The following is a 24,040-nucleotide window of genomic DNA, read 5'->3' on the forward strand; positions in this document are numbered from 1 at the left end:
GCAGGGATCTTGGGATGTGGAGATGCAGGGGCTGTTAGGCCCCAGGGCACGGTGCAGTCTGGTGGAGTCTGGGCTCTAAAATGGCAGCATGCTTCAGGTGCTTGGCTCTTGGGAGTTGTGTGGGGCCCAGCAGGACCTCTCTCTCTTCGGAACAATGCCATCAGGTGGATTCCAGGCAACTCCCTATACCAGTCTCAGTGCTTGCAAGCGCTGAGGGCCTCTCCCATGGCTAGAAATACAGAGGATCATAGTGAGAATGTGGACCACTGGGAATCTCTCACTCACCTTTTCTCCTGCACAGAGAAGAGTCTCCTGGCTCCAAGTTGATCTTGGCCAAGTTGTCTGTTTCATTTTCCTCTTCTTTCATGCTCCACAGCTTCTCTGCCACTTAACTGCTAAATTTCGATGTTCTCTCTTAGATACTTTAGTCAACTTGTGATTCTGTACTCACTAACATGGTCCTTCCTTGCAGAGATGGCAAGTGTTGGATGCTTGTAGTCAGTCTTCTTGAAGCCCCCTCACATAAATAGTTTTTATGCCTGGAAATGACACAGCTTTCCTTTTGCTAAGCCTTTAGTTCAAGCGTTTGAGTAAATCAATTTAGAACTTGAAATTCAAATTCAAAATAAAGGAGAAAACTAAAGCAATTGTAATTATCCGTATTTTAGACACTTTAAAACTTTTTTCCTTAATGGTAGATAAAATAAATACTATTTATTCTGAATATATATAATATATATAGTAATATATATATATTAGTAGAAGAAGTAGAATTTCTACAAATGAACTTGTTGAGAATCAGGATGATCTCACATAGATTGTTTTAACATGAGACTGTCTCTTAAATCTTCTTTGAAGTATATACATTCTCAGGGCTTATAGACAGAATCAACTCTTTCTCCATTGTGTTCAAAATGAGGTCTAGACATTTTTCTTCTTTTAAATATTTCTCCATGATTTTAGTCTCTGAATTTCACATAAACTCTGAATATATTTATAGTTAATCTTACTGGAACTAGAAAAAATCTAAAATCAATTTATGGAGAGGAAATCTTTTAGAAACTGGCTTCTGAAAATATGATGTAAGGCCCACCAGCCTTGACATCATTTGGAAAATCATTAGAAATGTAGAATGTCAGAATTTATCCCAGGCCTATTGAGTTAGAATATACATCTTAACAAGTTTTATAGATAAGTGGGCACATTAATATTTGAGACACATTGCTTTACAGGATGAATCAAAGGTTGGCCTGATGCTAATCATTTTCAGTGTCCAATTTCTTCAGGATGTTCAGGTACTTATTTGCTGAAGAAACATCCATTTGATGAAAATAGATTGATCAAAATATCCAGTAAAAGCCCTCTATCATTCATTTAATGCTATTTACCATTTGGTCATCATGAGTTGATGTAGGAGATCGGTCAGGGTGGTAGGAAAATTTGGAGAAAGATGCAAAGCTTCTTGGAAGGCCGGAAGGTTTTACGAAAGCTTCAGAAAAGGGTTTGGCTGAAGGCAGCTGAATTCTCTCAGAGTAGATAACAAGGAAGTGTAAGGGAATTGATCTAGATAAGTTAGTTTACTTAAGCCTGGAAACCTGGCCTTTAATCATTCGCGTGCAGGACTACCCTCTCTCTGGGAGATGGTGGGGGGTGAGGGTGTGACTATGTGAATTGCCCACAAGTGTGTTGACTCAAGGCCTTTGTCATTAAATTTATACTGAATAGATGCCCACAATGCCAGCTTGTCAGTGCTGTGGCTGTTGACTCTGTACAGCACCTTCCTTGGTGTCTGTGGGTGGCCCGATCCCCTAGCCCACTCTTTCACTGGATATCGCTGTCCAAGTGCATTTGTTCATCCGTAGTTTAGCCAGGGTCTGCAGGTCAGACCCAATAGGTTCAGTATTATCATTTTACCTTTCTATACTCACAATTCAAAAAGAGTTTCAAGGCTGAACACGGTGGCTTATGCCTGTAATCCCAGCATTTTGGGAGGCCTAGGTGGGCGGATTACCTGAAGTCAGGAGTTTGAGACCAGCCTGGCCAACATGGTGAAACCCCGTCTCTACTAAAGATACACAAAAAATTAGACAGGTGTGGTGGTGTGTGCCTGTAGTCCCAGCTACTTGGGAGGCTGAGGCTGGAGAATCAATTGCTTGAACCCGGGAGGTGGAGGTGGCAGTGAGCTAAGATGGGGCCACTGCACTCCAGCCTGGGGAACAGAGTGAGACTCTGTCTCAAAAAATAAAAAAGTTTCATGGACCCAAAATAATTCTGTTGCATTTAAGCTATTAGGACAGAGAGAGATACAGAGCTGTGTGTAACTCTATTATTTAAAAATGGACCTAGTTCATTTTTACACAATACATGGGAAAGGACCACAAAGCTATTTGTCATTATTAGAGGTCAAATCCAAAAAATAATCTCACTACTGTCCATTGAATTGCTGAGACCCTAAAGCTTTGGAAATGCATTCTCACTTATTTTGAATAAAATATAAAGGACTCTTTATGTTCACAACTGAAGGTTAAAGTCATACTTTATATTTACTCTAAGAATAGAGTAATACTACACATATTTTTCCTAAGCATATTTATACAATTAATATATATTTATATAACCATTAATATCTAAATAAAGTGACAGCATTTAATTTTATAGTATGAAATATTACCTAAAATTCCAGAAGTCTTAACTTTTACATTCTCAACAACGTTAGTAAGTTTTATTTGATTTTATTTAAGACCACTGAAATAACATAGTTAAATCTACAAGGTTTAAGGGCATGAGATCAATTATAGCTAAATAGTACAGAAAGGGAGAATAATTATGCTTGCATCCCATTTGTTGACAGTTCTAAAATACGTTTTGCTACAGAGTAAAAGTGTTAGACTTATGATGACCAATTATTATATGATTTTAAATTCTGTTATAGAAAGCCTAGAGGGATTCCTTTTTTCTTATGTTTACTTGCCAGTTTTTAGCTTGTCCAAGGATGGGCAAAATTTATCATTTTTCTGTTTCAGTCGTTCAGTGCTTGTGAATTGTTATGTTATTGTTTCAGTTTGGATAGATGTGCAATTCTTACATTTTGCTTGAGACTCTGGTTGGACTCAATACCCAGATACAAAATAAAAGTCAACAAAACCTTTCAAGTTTTCTATTAGATTTGGATTGAAATAGGTAAAGTCAGAAATGTTGCAAACCAAATTGGAAAAGTGAAAAATAGCCCAAGGGCAATAAAGCTCTTAACTATAAAAGTAGTTAGCAGCATCATCACACAATTTAGGACAACACCAACCTATACACTGAGTATAGATAATATCAAGTTTCCTCATTGAAGAACTGAGTGTCTGCAATTTTATGCTCTTCTTTTTTAATTGTACCATTCAACAAATCTTTGCTTGTCACAGCTAAGAGTCAAAATTAACTCTATGTGGTACAGGATACACCTAGGTACTTGCACTAATAACTATGTATGTGTTAACTAACATATTCTTTTAATAAAGTTTTCCATTTTTAGTTCATTTTAAAAATGATATGTGACTTAGTCAAATATTCTCAAAATTCATGAGTGGGCAGAAAGTCATATTCAAAAACAGTTATTAAAAAGCTTATTATATGCCTTTGATTTTAAATTAACACCAGTATGATACTTTTCTAAAACTCATAATAAACATAAAAACTGAAATATGAAAATCCAGCTTCAAAACAACTCACTCCTATATTTGATTTGACCCTTATATGTTAAAACTAAATACTAACCCCAAATTATGTTATTTAATAATGCAAAATTATAAGTAATATATTACAAAGATAATTAAATGCTTCTCTATATCTGAGAATTTCAGTTATCAAATTAAAATAGAATTTTATGGCAGCATCTAAACATTGCATCTTAGATTATTTGTTTTCTAATTCTATAAGTTGATAGCTTGGTAGAAAGGAAAGAACATCACTGGGGTCAGATGGCATATTCTATCATTGCAGTATTTTAAATATAATTGTTCCTTTTTGCATAGTCCTTTATCAGATTTTTACATGTAATAAAATGGGTTTGTGCCTGTGTGTGTGTGTGTGTGTGTGTGTGTGTGTGTCTCTGTGTGTCTGTGTGTAGAACAGCTCCAGGTTCAGGTTCAGATACAGGCACACCTCTGAGATATTGATAGTTCAGTTCCAGACCCCTACAATAAAGCAAATATTGCCATAAAGAAAGTCATATAAATTGTGTGGTTTCCCAGTGCACTTACCTATAGGTACAGGCACACCTCTAGATATTGCAGGTTCAATTTCAGACCACAGCAACAAAGTAAATACTGCTGTAAAGCAAGTGACATAAATTGTGTGGTTTCCCAGTGCATTTAAAAGTTATGTTTATACTATACTGTAGTCTATGAAGTGCGCAGTAGCACTATGCCTAAAAAAGTACATATCTATCTTATTCCACTAGTGTTGTTACAAAGATATACCTGAGGTAGGGTAATTCATAACAAAAAATATTTATTTGGTTCACAGTTCTGCAGGCTGTAGAAGAAGCATGGCTTTTTCATCTGTATCTGGTGAGGGTCTCAAGCTGCTTTTACTCATGGTGGAAGGGGAGCTTGTCTGCAGAGATCACATGGCAAGAGAGGAAGCAAAAAAGAAAGAGGAGGAGGTAACAGTCTTTTGGAACAACCAGTTCTCATGGGAACAAGAAAACTCACTCTGCAAGAATGACACCAAGTCATTCATGAGGGATGTTCCTCCACAATCCAAACACCTCCTACACTGGAGATCAAGTTTCAACATAAGACTTGGCAGGGCCAAAAAAGCCAATAGAAATACCTTAATTAAAAAATACTTTATTGATAAAACATGCTAATGATTATCTGAGCCTTTAGTGAGTAATAATATTTTTGCTGATGAAAAGTCTTGCTTCAATGTTGATGGCTGTTGATCAGGTTGGTGATTGCTGAAGGTTGGGATGACTGTGATAATTTCAAATATAAGACAAAGATGAAATTTGTGGCATTTATTTTCTTTTCCTTCAATGAAAGATTTATCTGTAACATGTGATGCTGTTTGATAGCATTTTATTTATAGTAGAAATTCTTTCAAAATTTGAGCCAATTCTCTCAAACCCTGCTAATGCTTTTTCAACTAAGTTTATGTAATATTCCAAGTCTTTTCTTGCCATTTCAACAACGTTTGCCGTGTCTTCATCGGGAGTTGATTCCATCTCAAGAAACCAGTTTCTTTCCTCATCCATAAGAAACAATTCCTCATCCATTCAAGTTTTGTCATGAGATTGCACTAATTCATTCACATCTTCAGGCTCCACTTCTAATTCTACTTCTCTCGCTATTTCCACCAAAGCTTCAGTTACTTCCGTGACTGAAGTTTTGAAACCCTCAAAGTCATCCATGAGGGTTGAAATCAACTACTTCCAAGCTCTTGTTTTGACCTCCTTCCATGAATCAAGAAGTGTGAAAAATGATGGTGGTATTTTGATGGGAATTTCATTAAATTTGTAGATTGTTTGTGGCACTATGACCATTTTCACAATATTGATTTGATCCATCCATGAGCATAGGATGTGTTTCCATTTGTTTGTATCATTTATTATTTCTTTTAGTGGTGTTTTTTAATTTTCCTTGTACAGGCCCTTCATGTCCTTAGTTAGATGTATTCCTAAGTATTTTATTTTACTTTTTGCAGCTATTGTGAAAGGGGTTGAGTTCTTGATTTGATTCTCAGCTTGGTTGCTATTGGTGTATAGCAGAGCAATGGATTTGTGTACATTAATTTTGTATCCTGAAACTCTCCTGAATTCCTTTACCAGTTGAGGAACTTTTTAGAGGAGTCTTTAGAGTTTTCTGATATATGATCATATCACCAGCAAATAGCAACAGTTTGACTTCCTCTTTACCGATTTGAATGCCATTTATTTCTTTCTCTTTTCTGATAGCTCTGTCTAGGACTTCTAGTATTATGTCGAACAGAAGTGGTAAGAGTGGGCCTCCTTGTCTTGTTCCATTTCTCAGTGGGAATGCTTTCAACTTTTCCCTGTTCAGGAAATGCTGTGGGAAAAAAGTCAAATTAACACCTATAAACATGATGGAAAAGTGAATTTTAGCATAGGTCTGACTAAGTATATAACCTGAGAATAGGGGAAATCAGTGGACAAAGCCTCCTATAATAGCAAATACGGCTCCTACTGATAAGATGTAATGGAAATGAGCTACAACATAATATGTGTCATGCAAGACAATGTCTAGTGATGAGTTAGCTAGTACAATGCCGGTCAGACCTCCTAATGTAAAAGGGGATATAAATCCCAGGGCTCAAAGAATTGTGGGGGATCATTTGATGTTGCTGCCATGTAGTGAAGCTAACCAACTAAAGACTTTGATGCCAGCGGGGAGGGCAATAATTATAGTGGCAGAGGTGAAGTATGCTCCTATATCTACATCTATTCCTACTGTAAGTATGTGGTGAGCCCATATGATAATCCTAAGAAACCAACTGATACTATGGCTCATACTATGCCCATGCACACAAATGGTTCCTTTTTTCCAGAATAGTGTGTTACGATGTGGGAGATTATCCAGAAGCCTTGTAAGATAAGGACATAGACTTCAGAGTGGCCAAAAAATCAGATAAGTGTTAATGCAGGACAGGGTCACCTCTGACAGCTGGGTCAGACAATGTAGTGTTGAGATTACAGTCAGTTAATAGCATAGTAATGCCGGCGGCTAGGTCTGGAAGAGAAAGAAGTAGAAGAACTGCTGTAACTGGGGCTGATCAGACGAAGAGGGGTGTGTGATGTAGGGATATGGCCAGGGGATTCATGTTAATGATTGTGGTAGTAAAATTAATAGCTTCTAGAATAGAAAAGATGCCTGCTAAATTAAGTGAGAAGATGGTCAGGTCCACAGAGGATCCTGCATGTTAAGATTCCTGTTAAGGGAGGATAAACTGTCCAGCGGGTCCCACTGCCAGCCTCTACCATTGAGAATGCAAATAACAGTAGGAAAGGGGGGGAGGGAGAAGTCAGAAACTCACGTTATTTATTCGGGGAAATGCCATATCAGGAGAGCCAATTATGAGAGGAACTAATCAGTTGCCAAAACCTCCGATTATGATTGGTATAACTATAAAGAAAATTATGATAAATGCGTGGGAGGTAACAATAACTTTGTAAATTTGATCATCTTCTAGCAGAGTACCTGGTTGGCCCAGTTCTGCTTGAATAAGGAGGCTTAAGGCTGTGCCTGCTATCCCTGCTCATGCACAGAATAGTAACTATAATGTTCCCATGTCTTTGTGGTTGCTTGAAAACAATCAACGGTTGATGAACATAAGTGGAGTGAAAAAGGTAAAATGGCTGAGTAAACATTAGACTGCAAATCTGAAGATGGAGGTTAAGGCCTCTTTTTACCAGTCCCGAGGTGATTTTCATGTTGAATTCAACATGAAAATTCAGACTAAGTTCAAAGGAGCAGCTTCACTCCTGCCAGGGCTTCTCCCGCCTTTTTTCCCAGCGGCGGGAGAAGTAGATTGAAGCCACTTGATTAGGGTGTTTAGCTGTTAACTAAATTTTCGTGGGTTTAATTCCACCAATCTAGAGAGGGCTTAGCTTAATTAAAGTAGTTGATTTGCGTTCAATTGATGCAGAGTGGAGTCTTGCAGTCCTTAGGTTTGTTGCAGAAATTAAGTATAATTTACTTGCTAAAGGCTTTGAAGGCCATTGGTCTTATTTAACCTAAATTTCTAGATCATAGATAGTGTTAATGGAGAAATAGGTAAGAGGAGGGTAGAGATTATAAGTGGGGGGAGGGGTAATATGGACTTTGTGTTTTTGAACCGTCATTTTATTTTTATGTTATTAGATGTGGGGAATATTGTCACTGAGGTAGAGTAAATTAAGCGTGTGTAAAAGTATAGGTTGAGTAGGGTTATAATATCTATAATGGTTGGGGTAATAAGACTGTTGTTTTTTGTAAGTTCTTGGATGGTAACTCATTTAGGGAGAAATCCCATTAATGGGGGTAAACCTCCTAGGGATAATAAAATTAATGGAATTATAGGTGTTAGTCATGTTAGTTTATTTCAGGTGTGGAATATTGATAGGGTTGTAGTGCTTGTGCTCAGATTGAGTGTAAGAAATGCGGTAATTGTTAGAATAAAGTAAAAAATACTGCAATATAATTATTCAAACTCACAAGTGAATTATTTCTGTTGTTTATTGAGATGGAATAATAAGTAACTAAACCTTCCCACCCACTAAAATATCTAAAAATGGATAAACTGTGAAATATCAGTTTTCTGACACCAGACATTGAGCAGTCCTGGGTAATAATCCATGAGATAGGGTAAGCAAATTATTTAAGGCAAATGTTTGTTCCAGCTCATTGCCTGGAAAGAGTTCCAGGCCACAGGAAAGGAGGGTAATCAGGGGGGAGCCTGACTATCTCTGTGGGTTAAAGAGACCAATCTGAGTGTTTATGAGACTAAGGCAGATTGATTTTGCAGGGCGTAATACCAGGGAAGAGAGAGTTGTACTGAGAGAGCTAAGAAGATATGCAGAGGGTACCCCTCAATTCTTCACTTAAATATTGATCTGCTAACGCATGTGATGAAACTACTTGAAGCAGAGACAATATTTCCCCCCAAAAATAGAGGGAACAACACCTAGTGCCATCCTTGGTTCTGGAATGGTTTCTATTTCACTATCCAGAGTAAATCACCTCATAATCCCAGGGACAAATGAATAGTTCTCAGAAGGATATTCCCTCAGTAGTATGTCAACATTAGCTGTAAGTTAGAAACTGTACTGGTTCTACATAAAATCCTTAAAAGCATGGCTCAAAAGGATCAAACTGCTGTCAAGTAACTGCACCTCAGAACAAAGTTCGAGAACATGTATAGGTATATAAAAATCATCCAGCACCCGGCAAGTTAAAAATGCCAATGCCAAGATTACAATTTTTAAAAATCCCAAGCATTCAAATAAGAAGGAAAACATAGTCCAAAATGAGAAAATTTAAACGATAGAATCAGGCCTGAAATAATAGTGATGACATTACAGCAGAAAACAGGTTTTTAAATTTTTTTTTAATACCTGACCAACTAAACAAACAATTAGCGATTGTCAAGGATTTGGAATATATTTATCTGTATTAGTTTCCTATTGCTGCTGTAACAAATAACTAAGCTGAGTGGCTTAAAGCAACCTAGGTTTATTTTACTATAGTACGGTTCTGGAGGTCAGAAGTCTGCAATGTGCCTTACAGGGCTAAAGTCAAAGTGTTTATAGGGCTATTTTCCTTCTGGAGGCTCTAGGGGAGAATTCTTTCCTCTGACATTTTCAGCTTCTAGAGACTGTTCGTGACCCATCCCTCCATCTTCATATCCAACTTTGTAGCACATTTCTTCTTTCTCTGACCTCTTGCCTCCTTCTTATCATGATCCAATTATGTGATTATCCTTATAAGAAGGAGGCAGGACATCAGAGAGAGAAAAAAAATGTGCTTATGTTGTGATTATGTTGTCCTCTCCCAGAAAATCCAGAATAATTCTTCTGTCTCCAGATCTTTAATTCAATCACATCTGAAAAGGCCCTTATGCACTATAAGGTAACATATTTGCAGGTTCCTAAGATTAGAATGGGACCACCTTTCAGAAGAGGCATTATTCCATCACTGTTTCCTTCCTGTGAGGCAAAATGGTCATTCAAATGTATTTTCCAAAGTTCTTCCCACTTGGAGGATTTCACTTTTCTGTCCATCAGTGCCACTCTAGACAGTAGTTGAACTATGCCAGCAGTCCAGTTCCAACAGTGACAGCATACTGTGTAAAACAAGCTCATTTTTTCCCTCTTTTAATCTGGGGTTAGGAAACTCCTTATTAGGCCACATGCATGTGTGGACAGTGGAATGGTGATGCAGCAAGTGGATGTGTCCTGAGAATCTGAGCCCCCCGCTCACACAACTTACTCATTTGTGGCAATCTATTCAAGCCTAATTTCATATACACTTACACATGTACATATATCTTTCATTTCATAATGGGTTCCTGCTGCATGTGATTAGCACTATGATTTGATGGATCCTCATTGCAACAGAGATTATAGAGTAATTGGTGCCCCATTATTAAACAATTAGTCTTTATCAGGGTTCTGTACCAAGCAATGAGCTGGTTCCCAAAAGAATACCATGCAGCCATAAAAAAAGAATGAAAGCATTTCCTTTTAAGCAACATGGACACAACTGGAGGGCATTATCCTAAGAAAATTAACACAGGAGTAGAAAATCAAATGTCTCATGTTCTCACTTATAGGCAGGAGCTAAATATTGGGTACATGTGGTCATAAAGATGGCAACAATAGACACTGGGGACTACTACTAGATAGGGGAAAGTGGGAAGGAGTATGCGTTGAAAAACTACCTACTGGGTACCTTGCTTCCTACCTGGGTGATGGGATCATTTATACACCAAACCTCAGCAACATGAGATACACCCATGTAACAAACCTGTACATGGGCCCCCTGAACCTAAAATAAAAGTAAAAGAAACAAAAAGAAAATATTAACCATAGAGAAGAACCTAAATACTTGCCTCAAAACCCAAGAGTTTTATGCTGTGATTCTTTTCTAAGTCTCTACACAGCATCCTTACCTTGGACACATTCAGACAAACTAAGTCTGATGTGTCATAAGGCCTATGTGGCAGGGGGACTGGCACAGCCCTATGAACATGCTGCAGAGGTCTCTTTTGCTCTAAGCCCTACTCATTTTTAGCAGCTTTACATGTTACACAGGAAATGGGTCAGAGCAGCACATTCAGTTGACATATGTTGACTCCTAAATTCAAAGAGCTCCAGGACTGATACAGAGAGTTACTTTCATGGTTAATGCTAAGATCAACTGTATTTTCTAAAAAATCTAAATCTATGGAAATAAATTCATTTTCTCTCTTTTTTTCCTTCTCTCAAATTTTCCTTTAAAAATTACATCTAAGAAAATCTTCATTATTTTTTATTGATATATAGATGGTATATATTCTAAAGTAATAAAAACAAGTGATTAGCACTTTCTGAGAATGTTCTCAATTTGTGATGCTTAGTATTCTTAAACTCAGTTCCATGGTGACATGATTTAAAAGGGCAACAACGGGTGGTGATGCAATTATTGGCTGAGCTGAAAAGTCCCAGTGGGTGTTAGAATCCACTATAAAACAAGTGTTTAAGGACTCATTGTCAGGCACTATAACATTCAGATGTCTGAGAAAGCTTAGTACAGTTGATTGTAATAGGGCAATTAAATAGAAAAGCACCTACTTCTGTATTTATTAGCTTTGGTATTCCATGGGTATAAGCAACCCTTAGATCCTCAGATAATCTTTTTGATAATATATTATTTGGATGCAAGGGATATTGAACAAAGCATAATTGAAAAAAAGAGTAGGACAAAACAAGTTTTACTGCAGTTCTGAAAAAGAGAGAAAATAACATAGCTTTCCCTACCTATAAAATGTTAACAGGTATGATTAGTATTAGGGTTTAGTAGATGGCAGGCTATGGCCAGGCCTATCGTACGCCTGAGGATGCAGAGGAGTAGCAGATTAAGAAAGAAAGTGTTAATAGCTAATGAGCAACCAGTTTTTTTCTATCCCAAGGATGTGGGGGAGAGAGGGAGAAGAAAAACAGGGAAGATCTATCCCCATTTGTGAACATACTAATCTAGATAACAATTACTACAGAAATACAGAGTTCTTACCAACTGAATGCTGATAGCAAGATGCACCATAAGATGTCTGTATACAACTGCTTATGATAAACAGATGTGGGATTTATGGAATTTGGGGACATAGCCTGCTGCAAAATTTCATTGTCAATTATATAATTTATAAGAGATAATAATGGAGATGTTTTAAATGGACTGAAATAGTGCATTTGGTGTAAGTGATAGCATGACCTGAAGCCTTTAGAGATGTCTTTCTGAAAGGTAACTTTTCTATCCTAACAGAATAAAGACAATAAAACCATGTTCTAGCCCCTTTTACCTAGGGTTCCTTGCTCCATGCCAGCTGCATTACATGTATAGGAAATTATGGAGACTTGGGGGCTTTAGGTTTACCTATTTACTTGCATCCTCTTCTTGTGAACCCATAACATTTTCTTTTACTCTACTGATATAAGAGTAAACTGAAATGAAAAAAAAAAGGTTAAGTAATAGCTAAGAGATTATTTTTAACAATCTTTGAATCTAGTTCAGATTTAACCTGGTATAGACCTAGAGAAGGACTGGCTTGCTTATTTAATTTCAGGATGACTTTGTTTAAGTGGGAAGGATAGAGAAAAGTGAACAGAAACTTCTTCCACATATACATATAAACGGCCTAAGAATACACAAGTCCTCATTAGAGGCCTGCCACGTTAGAAATATTGAGCTGCCGGATCATTTACCTGAATTTGTGAGTATTTTCCATATATGCTTTTTAAACTTTAATGTGCATGTGAATCATACTGGGTATCTAACTAAAACTGAAATAATGGTTCAGTTGGTCTGGGGCAGATCCAGACACTAAAAAACAATGCTAATGCTTCATGAACCACACTTTGAGTACCAGGGCTCTAGGGGGTTGTGAGAGTGGACTTTTGCAATGGGAGATATGGTAGTGCTATATGGAATGCAATGGCAAAGAAAATGTAAGTAAATATTGAGAAGGAGTTTTTCTTAGAGGAGGAAGATACGGTATGTAGGATACCAAGACCCAAGCAGACAAGATTGAGCTGTGGAACAGGAGGTCAGTGGTAGCCTCTTCCCTGGATATTAGACCAGTCCTTCTGGTGAATCTCTGCTAAAGTACATGCTGCAACATATGCCACATGCTGTAAGCTCTGAAAATAATCTTCAAGAACATATTCCATTTTTTTGCCTCTTTTTCTGCCCTATGTACAGCTTCTCAGATATTGTGCTTCAGTGACAGCTCATATGCTTACATACATAACAAGGGTGTCTGGTGCCAAGAGGTCTTTGCTAAATTAGTATTAATGTTGCTGAAGAAAATCTGAGAGTATATAAATAATATCATAAGGACATGTTAGAGTGAGTCCTTGCATCGTGATGATGCTTCCAGAACCTTCTGCTGCTACTTTATTCTATTCAAGATACAATTGGTGATTTGGTTAATTATTAACAGGACACCAGATTTGAAGGTGTTGAAATGAGTCCATTACCTGAAGGTGTTAGCCTAGGAAAAAAAATGTGCATTGCTACTAGAGTGCAAAATAATACAATCATTTCGGAGAATGGAATGCCAAATTTTCGTAAACATACACATATCCCATGTCCTGGCCATTCCACAGGTAATTCCAAAGAGAACAACGTAAGTGTCTATCAACTGGAGAAATGGATTTAAAAATTGTAGTATAAAAATTTAATGGTATACTTCCAAGAAATAAAAAGAAATAATCTCTTAATGTGTGCAACAATGTAGATGAACCAGAAATACAATAGATTGAGCTAAGAAATGAGGAAACAAAAGAGTTCATACTGTGTTATTCCATTTAAATGAAGTTTAAAGACATTCAAAACTAACCTGCAGTAGAAATCAGAAAACTATAGCACAAGGCCAAATCAATTCTGCTCCCTAATTTTGAATATGTATAGCACTGAATAGAGCATTTAAAAAATATTGTTAAAGGATTATTAAAAAACGAAGAATATATGAGACAGAAATATGGAGCCCACAAAACTTGCAATATTTATTGCCTGATATATTTTAAAAAGTGCACTGATGATGCTGGCTGCATAGTGATAAAATTTAGAAACTAATCACCTCTTGCTGACTGGAAATTGACTAGAAAAGGAGCACAAGGAAATTTTCTAGAATGACAGAAATGTTTTATACATCATTGTAGTTGTGATTATGAGGGTCTTCAATTGTCAAAACTCATTAAACAGAACATTTGAATTGTGTAATTTTATTATAATTTGTACTTCAAATATATAATGGCATAACTTTAAAAACATCAAAATGTAATACTATTAAGAATAATGAGATGGTCCTAAATTAGCATCTGCCAGCTAACCCCTTGACAATCCTGGGAACTCAAAATAAAAAAGCAAAGAGCCTCTAACAGATCCAGTTCTGTCTCTTAGAGGTGGGCTCTTGAAAAGCTAGCCGTTGATTGGTCACTCCATGAGGGAACAATTTCTGTACTGGTGCTGAGTAGACTCGTGTTATAGATCAAGATAAATATCAGAATCCCTGCTGTAATGCTTGTCGCTGACAACTGGGACATGTGTCAACACCAGCAAGGATTGTATCACAGCTGAGGCATGCATATCATAGCTCCATGCACAGCACTACAGGGACAATTCAAATGTATCCAGTACCTAGTCAGTGACCATGCTTATGTCTCAACAAATGACACCTCCACCACATCAAGTGTTCTTGAAACTCCACCCAGAAAATACTAGACTTCTCCCTAGGAGTCAGCTGAATAGCTTTTCTGCTTTTCTAGGCTTTGCAAATCTCCAGACTAAATACTAAAGGAGAGCCAGTAGTATTATTACTAACCTGTAGATAGTCTAGATTATTATTGTTAGAGGTCAATTTGAGTAGAATCCTGGTGGCTTACTTTAAAAGTATGTTAAATACTGGCTCACAAAAGTTGTTGGATAAAATTAGTAAAGGTAGCCAGAAACAAAAGTACTGACATAGACTGAATATGAACATTATTCATGATCTTTTTTTTACATCCTGATCACTGTCAATATGAGCTTGGCATGGTCCTGGGATGAAGATGAATGGAGGCCAGGTGTGGTGCTCATGCCTGTGATCCCAGCACTTTAGGGGGCTGAGGTAGGTGGATTGCTTGAATTCAGGAGTTCGAGACCAGCCTGGGCAATATTGCAAAACCCCTTATCTCTACAAAATACAAAAAAGTTAACCAGGCATGGTGGTGCGTGCCTATAGTCCCAGCTGCTTGGGAGGCTGAGATGGGAGGACAGCTTGAGCATGTGGATATTGAGGCTGCAGTGAGCCATGATCAATGCCACTGCACTCCAGCCTGGGTGACAGAGCAAGATCCTGTCTCAAAACAAACAAACAAACAAACAAACAAACAAACAAATAGAAAAGATACAGTGGAAAGCCAAAGAGGTGCTAATACAGAGAAATGAGGAATAATTAGCAGAGGAAACATGCGGTGTCAGCCTGACACCCAATCAGCCAGGCAGATAGATGATTGTAGATAATCTGGGAAAATGTATGGGTGGTAGAGAAGGTAAGAGAAAGTGATTTAGGTTATCATGATCAAATGGCTACAAGTAGATACAATCCCTTTATAACCTGTAACAGTTGTTGCTGCAGAGAAGATCCTGGGCCCTGTTTGTATATAGATACTATAGCAATAAGCCAAGTCACTAAACTTATGAATTATGGAAGTCAGATATGATAGATTTTAATGTCACTTCATCATCAAACCACAGCTTTTGTGTTACCTTTCTTGACAGCAGTTTTGAAGCCAGAGGTGTGATCCTCAATAAGGCGAGATAATAGCAGGAATAACTTATTTTGTTAAGTCCATTAAGAGTATCCAAGTAGTATGTTTAATTCATAAATATTAGAAAGTAACAAATGCTGGGAATGTGCTGAAAAGGGAGGATGCCTGTACACTGCTGGTAGGAATATGACTTGCATAACCACTATAAAAAAACAGTATGGAGATTCTTCAAAAAACTAAAAACAGAACTACTATTTGACCTAGTGACCCCGTTCATGGGTATATATCATAAAGAGAGGAAATCAGTATATCAAAGAGATATCTACACTCCAGATAATTTGTACTCCATGTTTATTGCAGCACTATTTATAATTGCCAAGATAAGGAATCAACCTAAGTGCCCATCAATGGATGAAAGAAAATATGACATACACATTGAAATATTAATCAGCCACAAGAAAATGAAATCTAATCTTTGGCAACAATAGGGATGGACCTGGGGGACATTATGTTAAGTGAAATAAACCGAACACAGAAGCACAAATGTCTTATATTCTCACTCATATGTGAAAACTAAAAGAATTGATCTAATGGAGTGGAGGTGGAGAGTAAAATAATGTTTACTAGAGGCTCAGAAGGGTAGTGGGTGAGGAGAAAGGGATAAAGAGATTGGTTTTAATGGGTACAAATATGCAATTAGAAGAATTAAGATCTAGTGTTCAGTAGCACAATAGGGCAACTACAGCTAACAATAATTTACTATGTATTTCAAAATAGCCAGAAAAGTACATTTGGAATGTTCCCAACACAAATAAAGAGTAAATGTTTGAAGTGATACATATCCCAATTCCCCAGATTTGATTATTACACATTGTATGCCTGTATCAAAATATTACATGTACCCCATAAATATGTACAACAATTGTGTATCCATATATATAAAAAATTGGCATTGGTAGAAAAAGTAAAATTATTCATCTAGAACCAGGGAAGTTATAAAAATGGCCACACCGAACTAGTGAACATTGTTATATAAAAATTTGGACATAAAAGCCAGAGACTTATCTTTGACATGAAGAAGCTATTGAATATGTGGAAAGGTAATATAAAACTCTGCATAAATAATATTTAAATTTTTAAGAAAATTGCCAGGTGTAAACCCTGTCTCAGGGACTTGTAATATTTAATATGACTTAATGCAGTAATGTACTCTAAGAATAATATTGTATAATTGAAGTTATGGAAATAATTTTGAAAAATTAAGACACACTATGAGAACAAGCAAATATGGCATATACTCTTCTTCTGAATGCTATAAAAAGTTGCCCATAAAATAAATCAAAAGGCATGAACATAGTTTTTCACATTTATCAAGAACAAAGATATAAAGGGAAATGAATTTTATATTTCTTTAGAAAGTCCAGTCTCAAGGGGACAGATGTGGCAATTTCCAAAGTGACACAAGAAGCATATCTGATTACAACTTGCTAGGTACAAGGTGAATAACAGTTGACAAGTGAGATTACAAATGTCAATCTATCAAATATTTGCTTGTTTCTTAATTTTAGGAAATGTTTAGATAGTGTTACGACGTGAGGAATGTACATCTGGTGATAGTATATCTCTACCCTTAATTATGCCATAAGAAATGAACTAGATTTGGGTACTTATTACTAACTTCACGAGTAAGTACCATATGTACTTGCTTTTTAAATGTACTTACTTTTAATATGAAAGAAACAGGTACTACAGTGATGTGCTAGCTTTAGTGTAGGAGTTGGTAGGGGGCAGGAGATTAATGGTGTGGAATAAAAATGTGAATATGAGAAAACAATGATCAACAGCACAAGATTGCCAGTTGCCTTAAATACTAAATTGGTCATGAAAAATTGTCCTTTATAAAAACTCTTTGAAATATCAAGGAGTGTGAAAATCTCAAGCATGAATTTTAAAAATAATGATAAAATACTTGTGCATAAAACATTATTTCTGAGGTAGGCTAAAATGTAGTTCCTTACATGGTAAATATTTTATAAGAGGGGCACTCAAGTGTTTATGTAATCAGAAATATAATAAATATGAATTATGTTGTTTTTAAAATGTATTTTTTGTGGTTTATTTTTCTTTATTTCATTTTAGATCCAGGGAGTACATGTGCAGGATTGTTGCATGGGTATATTGCATGATGCTAAGGTTTGGCCTTCTAATGATCCTGTCACCCAAGTAGTGAACATGATACCCAATAGGTAGTTTTCTAACCCTTGCCTCCCTGTGTCCCTCCCTCATTTTGTGATCCCCAGTGTTTATTATTCCCATATTTATGTCCATGTGTATTCAATGTTTAGCTCCCATCTATAAGTGAGAACATGTGGCATTTGGTTTTCTGTTTCTGCATTAATTCACTTAGGATAATGGTCTCCAGCTGCATCCATGTTGCTGAAAAGGAAATGATTTTGTTATTTTGTATGGCTGTGTAGTATTCCATGGTGTATATATACATTTTCTTTCTCCAATCCACGGTTGATGGACATCTGGGTTGATTCCATGTCTTTTGCTATTGTGAATAGTGCTGTGCTAAACATATGAATGCAAGTGTCTCTTTGGGAGAATGATTTATTTTCTTTTGGGTAATAAATTCCCAGTAATGAGATTGCAGGCTGAAATGGTAATTCGATTTTTACTTCTTTGAGAAATCTTCAAACGGCTTTCCACGGTGGCCAAACACATTTACATTCCCTGCAACAATGCATAGGTGTTCCCTTTTCTCTGCAACTTTGTCAACATCTGTTCTTCTTTAAGTTTTATAGCCAATCTGACTTGTATGAGATGGTATTTCATTGTGGTTTTGATTTGCATCTCTCTAAAGATTAGTGATGTTTGTTAGCTGCTTATAGATCTTTTGAGAAGTGTCTGTTGATATGCTTTGCACACTTTTAAATGTTTTTTTTAAATTTTTTTTAATGGTTGATTCGCTTAAGTTCCTTAAAGATTCTGGATATTAGCCCTTCGTCAGATGCTTGGTTTGCAAATATTTTCTCCCATTCTTTAGGTTATCTGTTTACTCTTTTGAGAGTTTCTTTTGCTGTACATAAGTGCTCCAGTTTAATTAGGTCCTATTTGTCAATTTTGTTTCTGTTGCATTTGCTTTTGAGGACTTAGTCATAAATTCTTTGACTAGGCAAATGTCTAGAAGAGCATTTGCTAGGTTTTCTTCCAGGACTTTTACATTATGAGGTCTTACATTTAATCTTTTAAGACATTTTGAGTTAATTTTTGTATATAGTGAGTTTTGCAAAGATAGGAACAAGGACTGAGTAGAAAGTATCTCCTTATGCTGGAACATCCTGTTTATAGGAGAAAAACTAACCTGGATATATTCTAGGATCTATGTGTTTCCTTAAAGTCTTAGTTTGATTAGTCACATTTAGCACGAGTGACTTCATTTTGGTTTAATTTTGTCTGTTGGTGCGTAGGGAATGAGCTCAGTCCAAAACAAGGGCCTCCTATAATTTTGTTTTTAAAAAAAATTCCCCCTTTTTGGTCAGGTTCTCACTTAGGTGAGAGTGTGAACAAAACTTAGGGCCTTAACGCAATTCCCAGTTACAATCACTTTGGGTTTCTGACCTCAACATGTCATTCACAGGTTACAGTGTCTTCATGGTCATACATTTATTTCAGCTCTTGCTATTCCAGTGGAAGAGAGAACATTTGAAATTCTAGAGATAGCTGTATGCAAACATTTAAAACCTTTGAGAGAATATAGTGCACCAGGAAGACTATTTTTATGACTATCAGGTAGATAATACCAAGAGTTTGGAGTATGCTCCTTACCCGGGGTCCCCATAAACCGAGCAACCTAAAATCAAATATATCAAAGAATGGGCTAAAGAGTCTAGTCACTTCAATAAGCAGTCTCTTTGTTAATCCCCTGCAACTGAATCTCTATAATACCTAATGTTTTCTCCATAGGCCATAAGTGCCAGCAGCTCCACAGATACTTTTCTGTTCAGCCAGTTCTATTATTTAACATAACTTTCACAAGAGAATTTAAAGTCTGTTGTGTAACCATAGCCTTTACAGTAGAATCTTCTATAGAGCATATCATGAGGGATACATTTCTAACCATTGCCCCTTTTATTCCAAACCATGGAAAAAGGACCTAACAAATGAGGCCCTTCTAGAAGACTGAAGGCCTCCTGGCAATGTTTTCTTTAACCTATGATGTGGGTTAAAAGGAGTGAATCAATGTTCTGTTTTTGACTGATTATGAGGCAACATATGTACCATTAAAGTTTCTCACTTACACTGGACCTTTATTTTTTATCTATTAAAGTATAAGTTTATCCATGTATAAGGCTGGGTGCAAAATCATTCACACATAAAATTATACCCCATAAGTGCACAAAACAAACCCCCTTTTCATTTCATTCTATTGTTCATAGAGTCATAAACAAGGAAAATATTCTAAGATAAGAGTCTCATAACAGTAGAGAATTCATGTTCTTGGGAAAAGCTGTTCACATCAAGGATGCCATCTTCTTCTGGGGAGAAACTTTCCTGGTTAGCTTTACCTTAAGGTTTCCAATGGGTGTACTGTTCCAAAATTGTAGAGGGATCCTTCTTGGTTGTGAGATTGTGAACCCAAAGTTCAAGGTCCCAAAGTTTTGCTGTAGTATGGATGGCAAGGACAGTCTTTCTCTGATGTTCTCAGAAGATCCAATCTTCAGGTTCTAAATTATGAAAGGGTTGATTTTCCCAGTCAGAGAACCATAAAGAGCTTTCTTGATGTGGTGAAAATACACTGTAGCATAATAATCTACTGTTATAACATTAGCCCTCTTGCATGGGAAAGCTTTTATACAACCAGAAAACAAGCAATGAAAATGATAATTGAATGAAATTCCTTTATAAATGTTTAAATGGCCCCATCAAGTAGCCAAATGTACCTGAAGCTTTGATTGTTTTCCTAGGAATATGGGTTTGACAAACCAAACATGGATTATAAACTATTTTAGTAATCAATAAGATACCACACTGATATATTTAATTTAGATCATTTTATCTTTTCCATGATGAGTCATGGAATGCAGAACTTTTAATAACAAAAGCTTTAAGGACTCAGGAAGGACAAGATGGTCATTCTAGTTTTCCAAGTGTCCATGCTTAATTAACATTAGGCTTATATCCTCTTAAATACCAGTTTTTTTCTCCAAATTAAGTGCATAGCATTGATAACTGATGGGTTTGCATGCGTAATTTGACTTAGACCATGGAGTTCATTCAAATCGTATATATAAACAATTTCAGTACTGGCTGATTTAGCATGCAAATCTGGCAAAGTATTTCCTTTATATTCAATTTTTTTTTCTACTTGGCTTAGCAGTTTTATAACTCAGTCAGTTTTTTTCATTAAAGTTCCAGGAATTCTTATCCAGTTCAATTCTTGGGGAATTGGGGAATTCATGGGGAATTCTTACCCATGATGTGATTTTAATGTTATTAGAAACCTGTATTCAAGAGTGCTTTTCAGGGTCCTTTCCATCCTTTCATGAACCTCCTCAAAGACACCATATTCTAGGATTTTGTGTACTTGTGAAGCTTCATGCATCAGCATGAAGCAATTAACTGTGGAAATGACTTTAAACAGTTATACTTAAAAACACAATTGACAAGGAGATTTGGTTATTTCTGTGGTCTACAATAACTTAACATAATAACCATAATTATGATTGATAGCATATACTCAGGCATATTAGAATTTTAGAAACTCAATACAATTTTGGAACATATTGATGACATACACAAAAATATAACCTGAAGAGGGTTAAATATTAATCTTTTTTCTTTTTTTTTTTTTTTTTTACAATGATTCCCATGTAACTAAACATGTCAAATAATCCTGTTTACCTCTCTGTTAGAGGCTTTGGAGCCCTCTATGGCATTGCAAAATTAGAGGTCAGAAAAGACAGTTTTAAAGCTGAAATTTGATTTTGGGAAGACTATCAAACATGTTAAAGGTTTAAACACTTGATATGAAATAGAATTCCAGGTTACCGTAAGTCATTCATTTAGCTGAAATAATGAATCAAAAGTTTTAAAAAGGCAAAACCTTTTACTGATTAACAGAGGGAACACTTAGATTTCCAAACAATCTGTCTTTTGGCATTTCCTTCTTTTATCAGTAGTTTATTCAAAAGGCAAACAAAATCTTTCATTATCTTTTAATATTACATGAAAATCTTGTTCAACAGAGAAAGACAAATTTCATCCTTGCATTAGTGTACTATTACTGTCAATAACAATTTTTATTAAAACATTAGAGACAAATCTATCCAATTTTAATCAGTTTGATCATAAGGTGAGATTTTCATAAACATTTTACAACCCTTTACCATTTTTGTGAAAGAGCATATTAGTGCTCTAAAAAAACCTCTTGTGACTTTATTCCAATGCTCAATTTATAGAAAAACTTAAAAATATCCTTTTAACTTTTGCCAGTGTCCACATAGAACTTCTTTTTACAAGATTAATGTTTTTACAAACTTTCCACAACTTGTTTAAACCTTTAGCTTTATATTATTCAATTTAAAACAATCCTATCAACCTTATTCAGTTTTAAACAATCCCTCTAGACTAGGCAAAATTTACATTCACATGCCTTCTTATAATCATTTACTAACACATTTTACTTTTCTTACACACCTTGCATGTAATACAGCTTTTTATTTCAGCAATCTTCATTATGTGTGATAATAGTAACTCTTAGCAATTTTTAATGTTGGTGAAAAATCTGGTAAGTTATTTTAATTACATACCAGGTGGAGTTAAGGTCTGACTCTTTCCAGCATAGCTAGGGGCATGGCTAACTTCACATGTCCCCAGGCCTTACAAAGCTGCAAAACAGGCAAGTTGAACAATTTTCAAAAGCCAAAGAAGCAGTCTATGACCTTAAAGCATTTAGCAAGACTAATATCTGACCTGCCTAATTTAGACCAAATGTCTTTATTTTACCAATAATCTTAAAGCTGTTTATATTTCCCAAAGATTGCTAAAGTTACATAAACTAAAATAGGTTATAGTTTTTATTTTTCTTTTAAAATATTTGATTTAAGTGCTTATTTTCTCCTTAAGCCAATTAGAGTTCTTTTTTATATAAACATCACACACACAACACATATATAACTACTCAGACAGACAGAAGATCCAGCAGTGGTAGCATGTTTCATTTACCAGTTTCTGAATTGGATTACTGGTCTCAAGGTGGAGCCCTTCAAGAAACAGGGCTAGAAAAACATGCAGTTTCTAGGGCCTAATAAGCAGGCACAGGTGGAAGACAAAAAAAGTTCCCCAAAATTAAGGGTCCCATTTTTATACCAGATCTTAGATCCCGAAAAGGAGGAAAATGCTATGGCAGAAGACAGTGCAATGTTTTTACTATGCATTTTATTGCATGGCAACCCTAAATCAATTAGCCCATTTTGCAATTAGCCCATCCTTCATGGGAGCCTTATTTCTTAGTCGGGGGGTGGGGATGTTGACGTTGTCATACCTTCCAGTTGGCCAAGACCATATTTCTCTTATTCAAATGTGCCAAGAGCCTCCTATCACCCCATAACTGCCATTAACATTGCTAAAAGTATATCTAGTCTTAACATCTTCAGAGTGTTCTACCCACCTCCCATTTCTGGGATTTCAGGAGGAAAACAGAGATTTTTCCCAAAATGAGTTCTGTGCTGCCTCCTCTGTTTTTCCCAAGGAGTCCCATGCTGTTAGAACTTGACTATCTGTTTTTAATTAAGCTTTCTTTTTTTGAGGAGGAGTAGTCGCACTCTGTCACCCAGCTAGAGTGCAGTGGCATGATCTAGGCTCACTGCAACCTCCATCCCCTGGGTTCAAGAGATTCTCCTGCCTCTGCCTCCTGAGTAGCTGGGATTACAGGTGCCTGCCACCGTGCCTGGCTAATTTTTGTATTTTCAGTAGAGACAGGGTTTCACCATCTTGGCCAGGCTGGTCTTGAGCTTCTGACCTTGTGATCCACCTGCCTTGGCCTCCCAAAGTGCTGGGATTACAGGCGTGAGCCACAGCGCCCAGCCCCAATTAAGCTGACTTTTAACCATAGTATTCTTTTAAAAATTCTTTTCAAGCCCAGTTTGGATCAGAAATTTGCTCAAAGAAACTCAGAGAGCTCAAAACACAAATCTGTGGAGCTCTGAAATGGGAGAGAGAATTTACCCAGAATTCCCAGTCACTCTGAGAGATCAAGGGACACAAATGGGTCCTTGCAGATACCTTGCTTGTTCTCTCAGTGCTCCTGGAGGTCGTTAAAAGCTCTACTTCAGACCCTGCTTCTGACACCATCTGTTTAAAGAAAAACTTCAGGTGAATTAAGTTTTAAGGAGTTTGAGCAATGAATGTTTCACGAATTGGGCAGCCCCCAGAATCAGAGCAGATTCAGGGAAACTCCCTACATATATACTTTTTGTTAATGATATTTGGTATTTTCTCTATTTCAAGAGGTAGTTGTATTACTAGTAAAACTGAATATGA

At 36.4% G+C, this 24,040-nt stretch overlaps 1 long non-coding RNA gene and 2 pseudogenes across 1 annotated transcript in view; 1 reads left to right on the forward strand and 2 right to left on the reverse strand.

Annotated features, from left to right (window-relative positions):
• MTCO1P47 (MT-CO1 pseudogene 47) lies at nucleotides 6,068–7,338 on the reverse strand (annotated as a pseudogene).
• On the forward strand, nucleotides 7,760–8,443 carry MTND2P35 (MT-ND2 pseudogene 35; annotated as a pseudogene).
• Nucleotides 10,495–24,040, reverse strand: part of LINC01608 (long intergenic non-protein coding RNA 1608) — an 89,744-nt gene continuing 76,198 nt past the window's right edge. The window contains exon 6 of the long non-coding RNA NR_125417.1: nucleotides 10,495–10,532. This is a non-coding gene — a long non-coding RNA (long intergenic non-protein coding RNA 1608). The remainder of the gene's footprint in view (nucleotides 10,533–24,040) is intronic.

Source organism: Homo sapiens, chromosome 8 (assembly GCF_000001405.40).
Source record: "Homo sapiens chromosome 8, GRCh38.p14 Primary Assembly".
Lineage (NCBI taxonomy): Eukaryota > Metazoa > Chordata > Mammalia > Primates > Hominidae > Homo > Homo sapiens.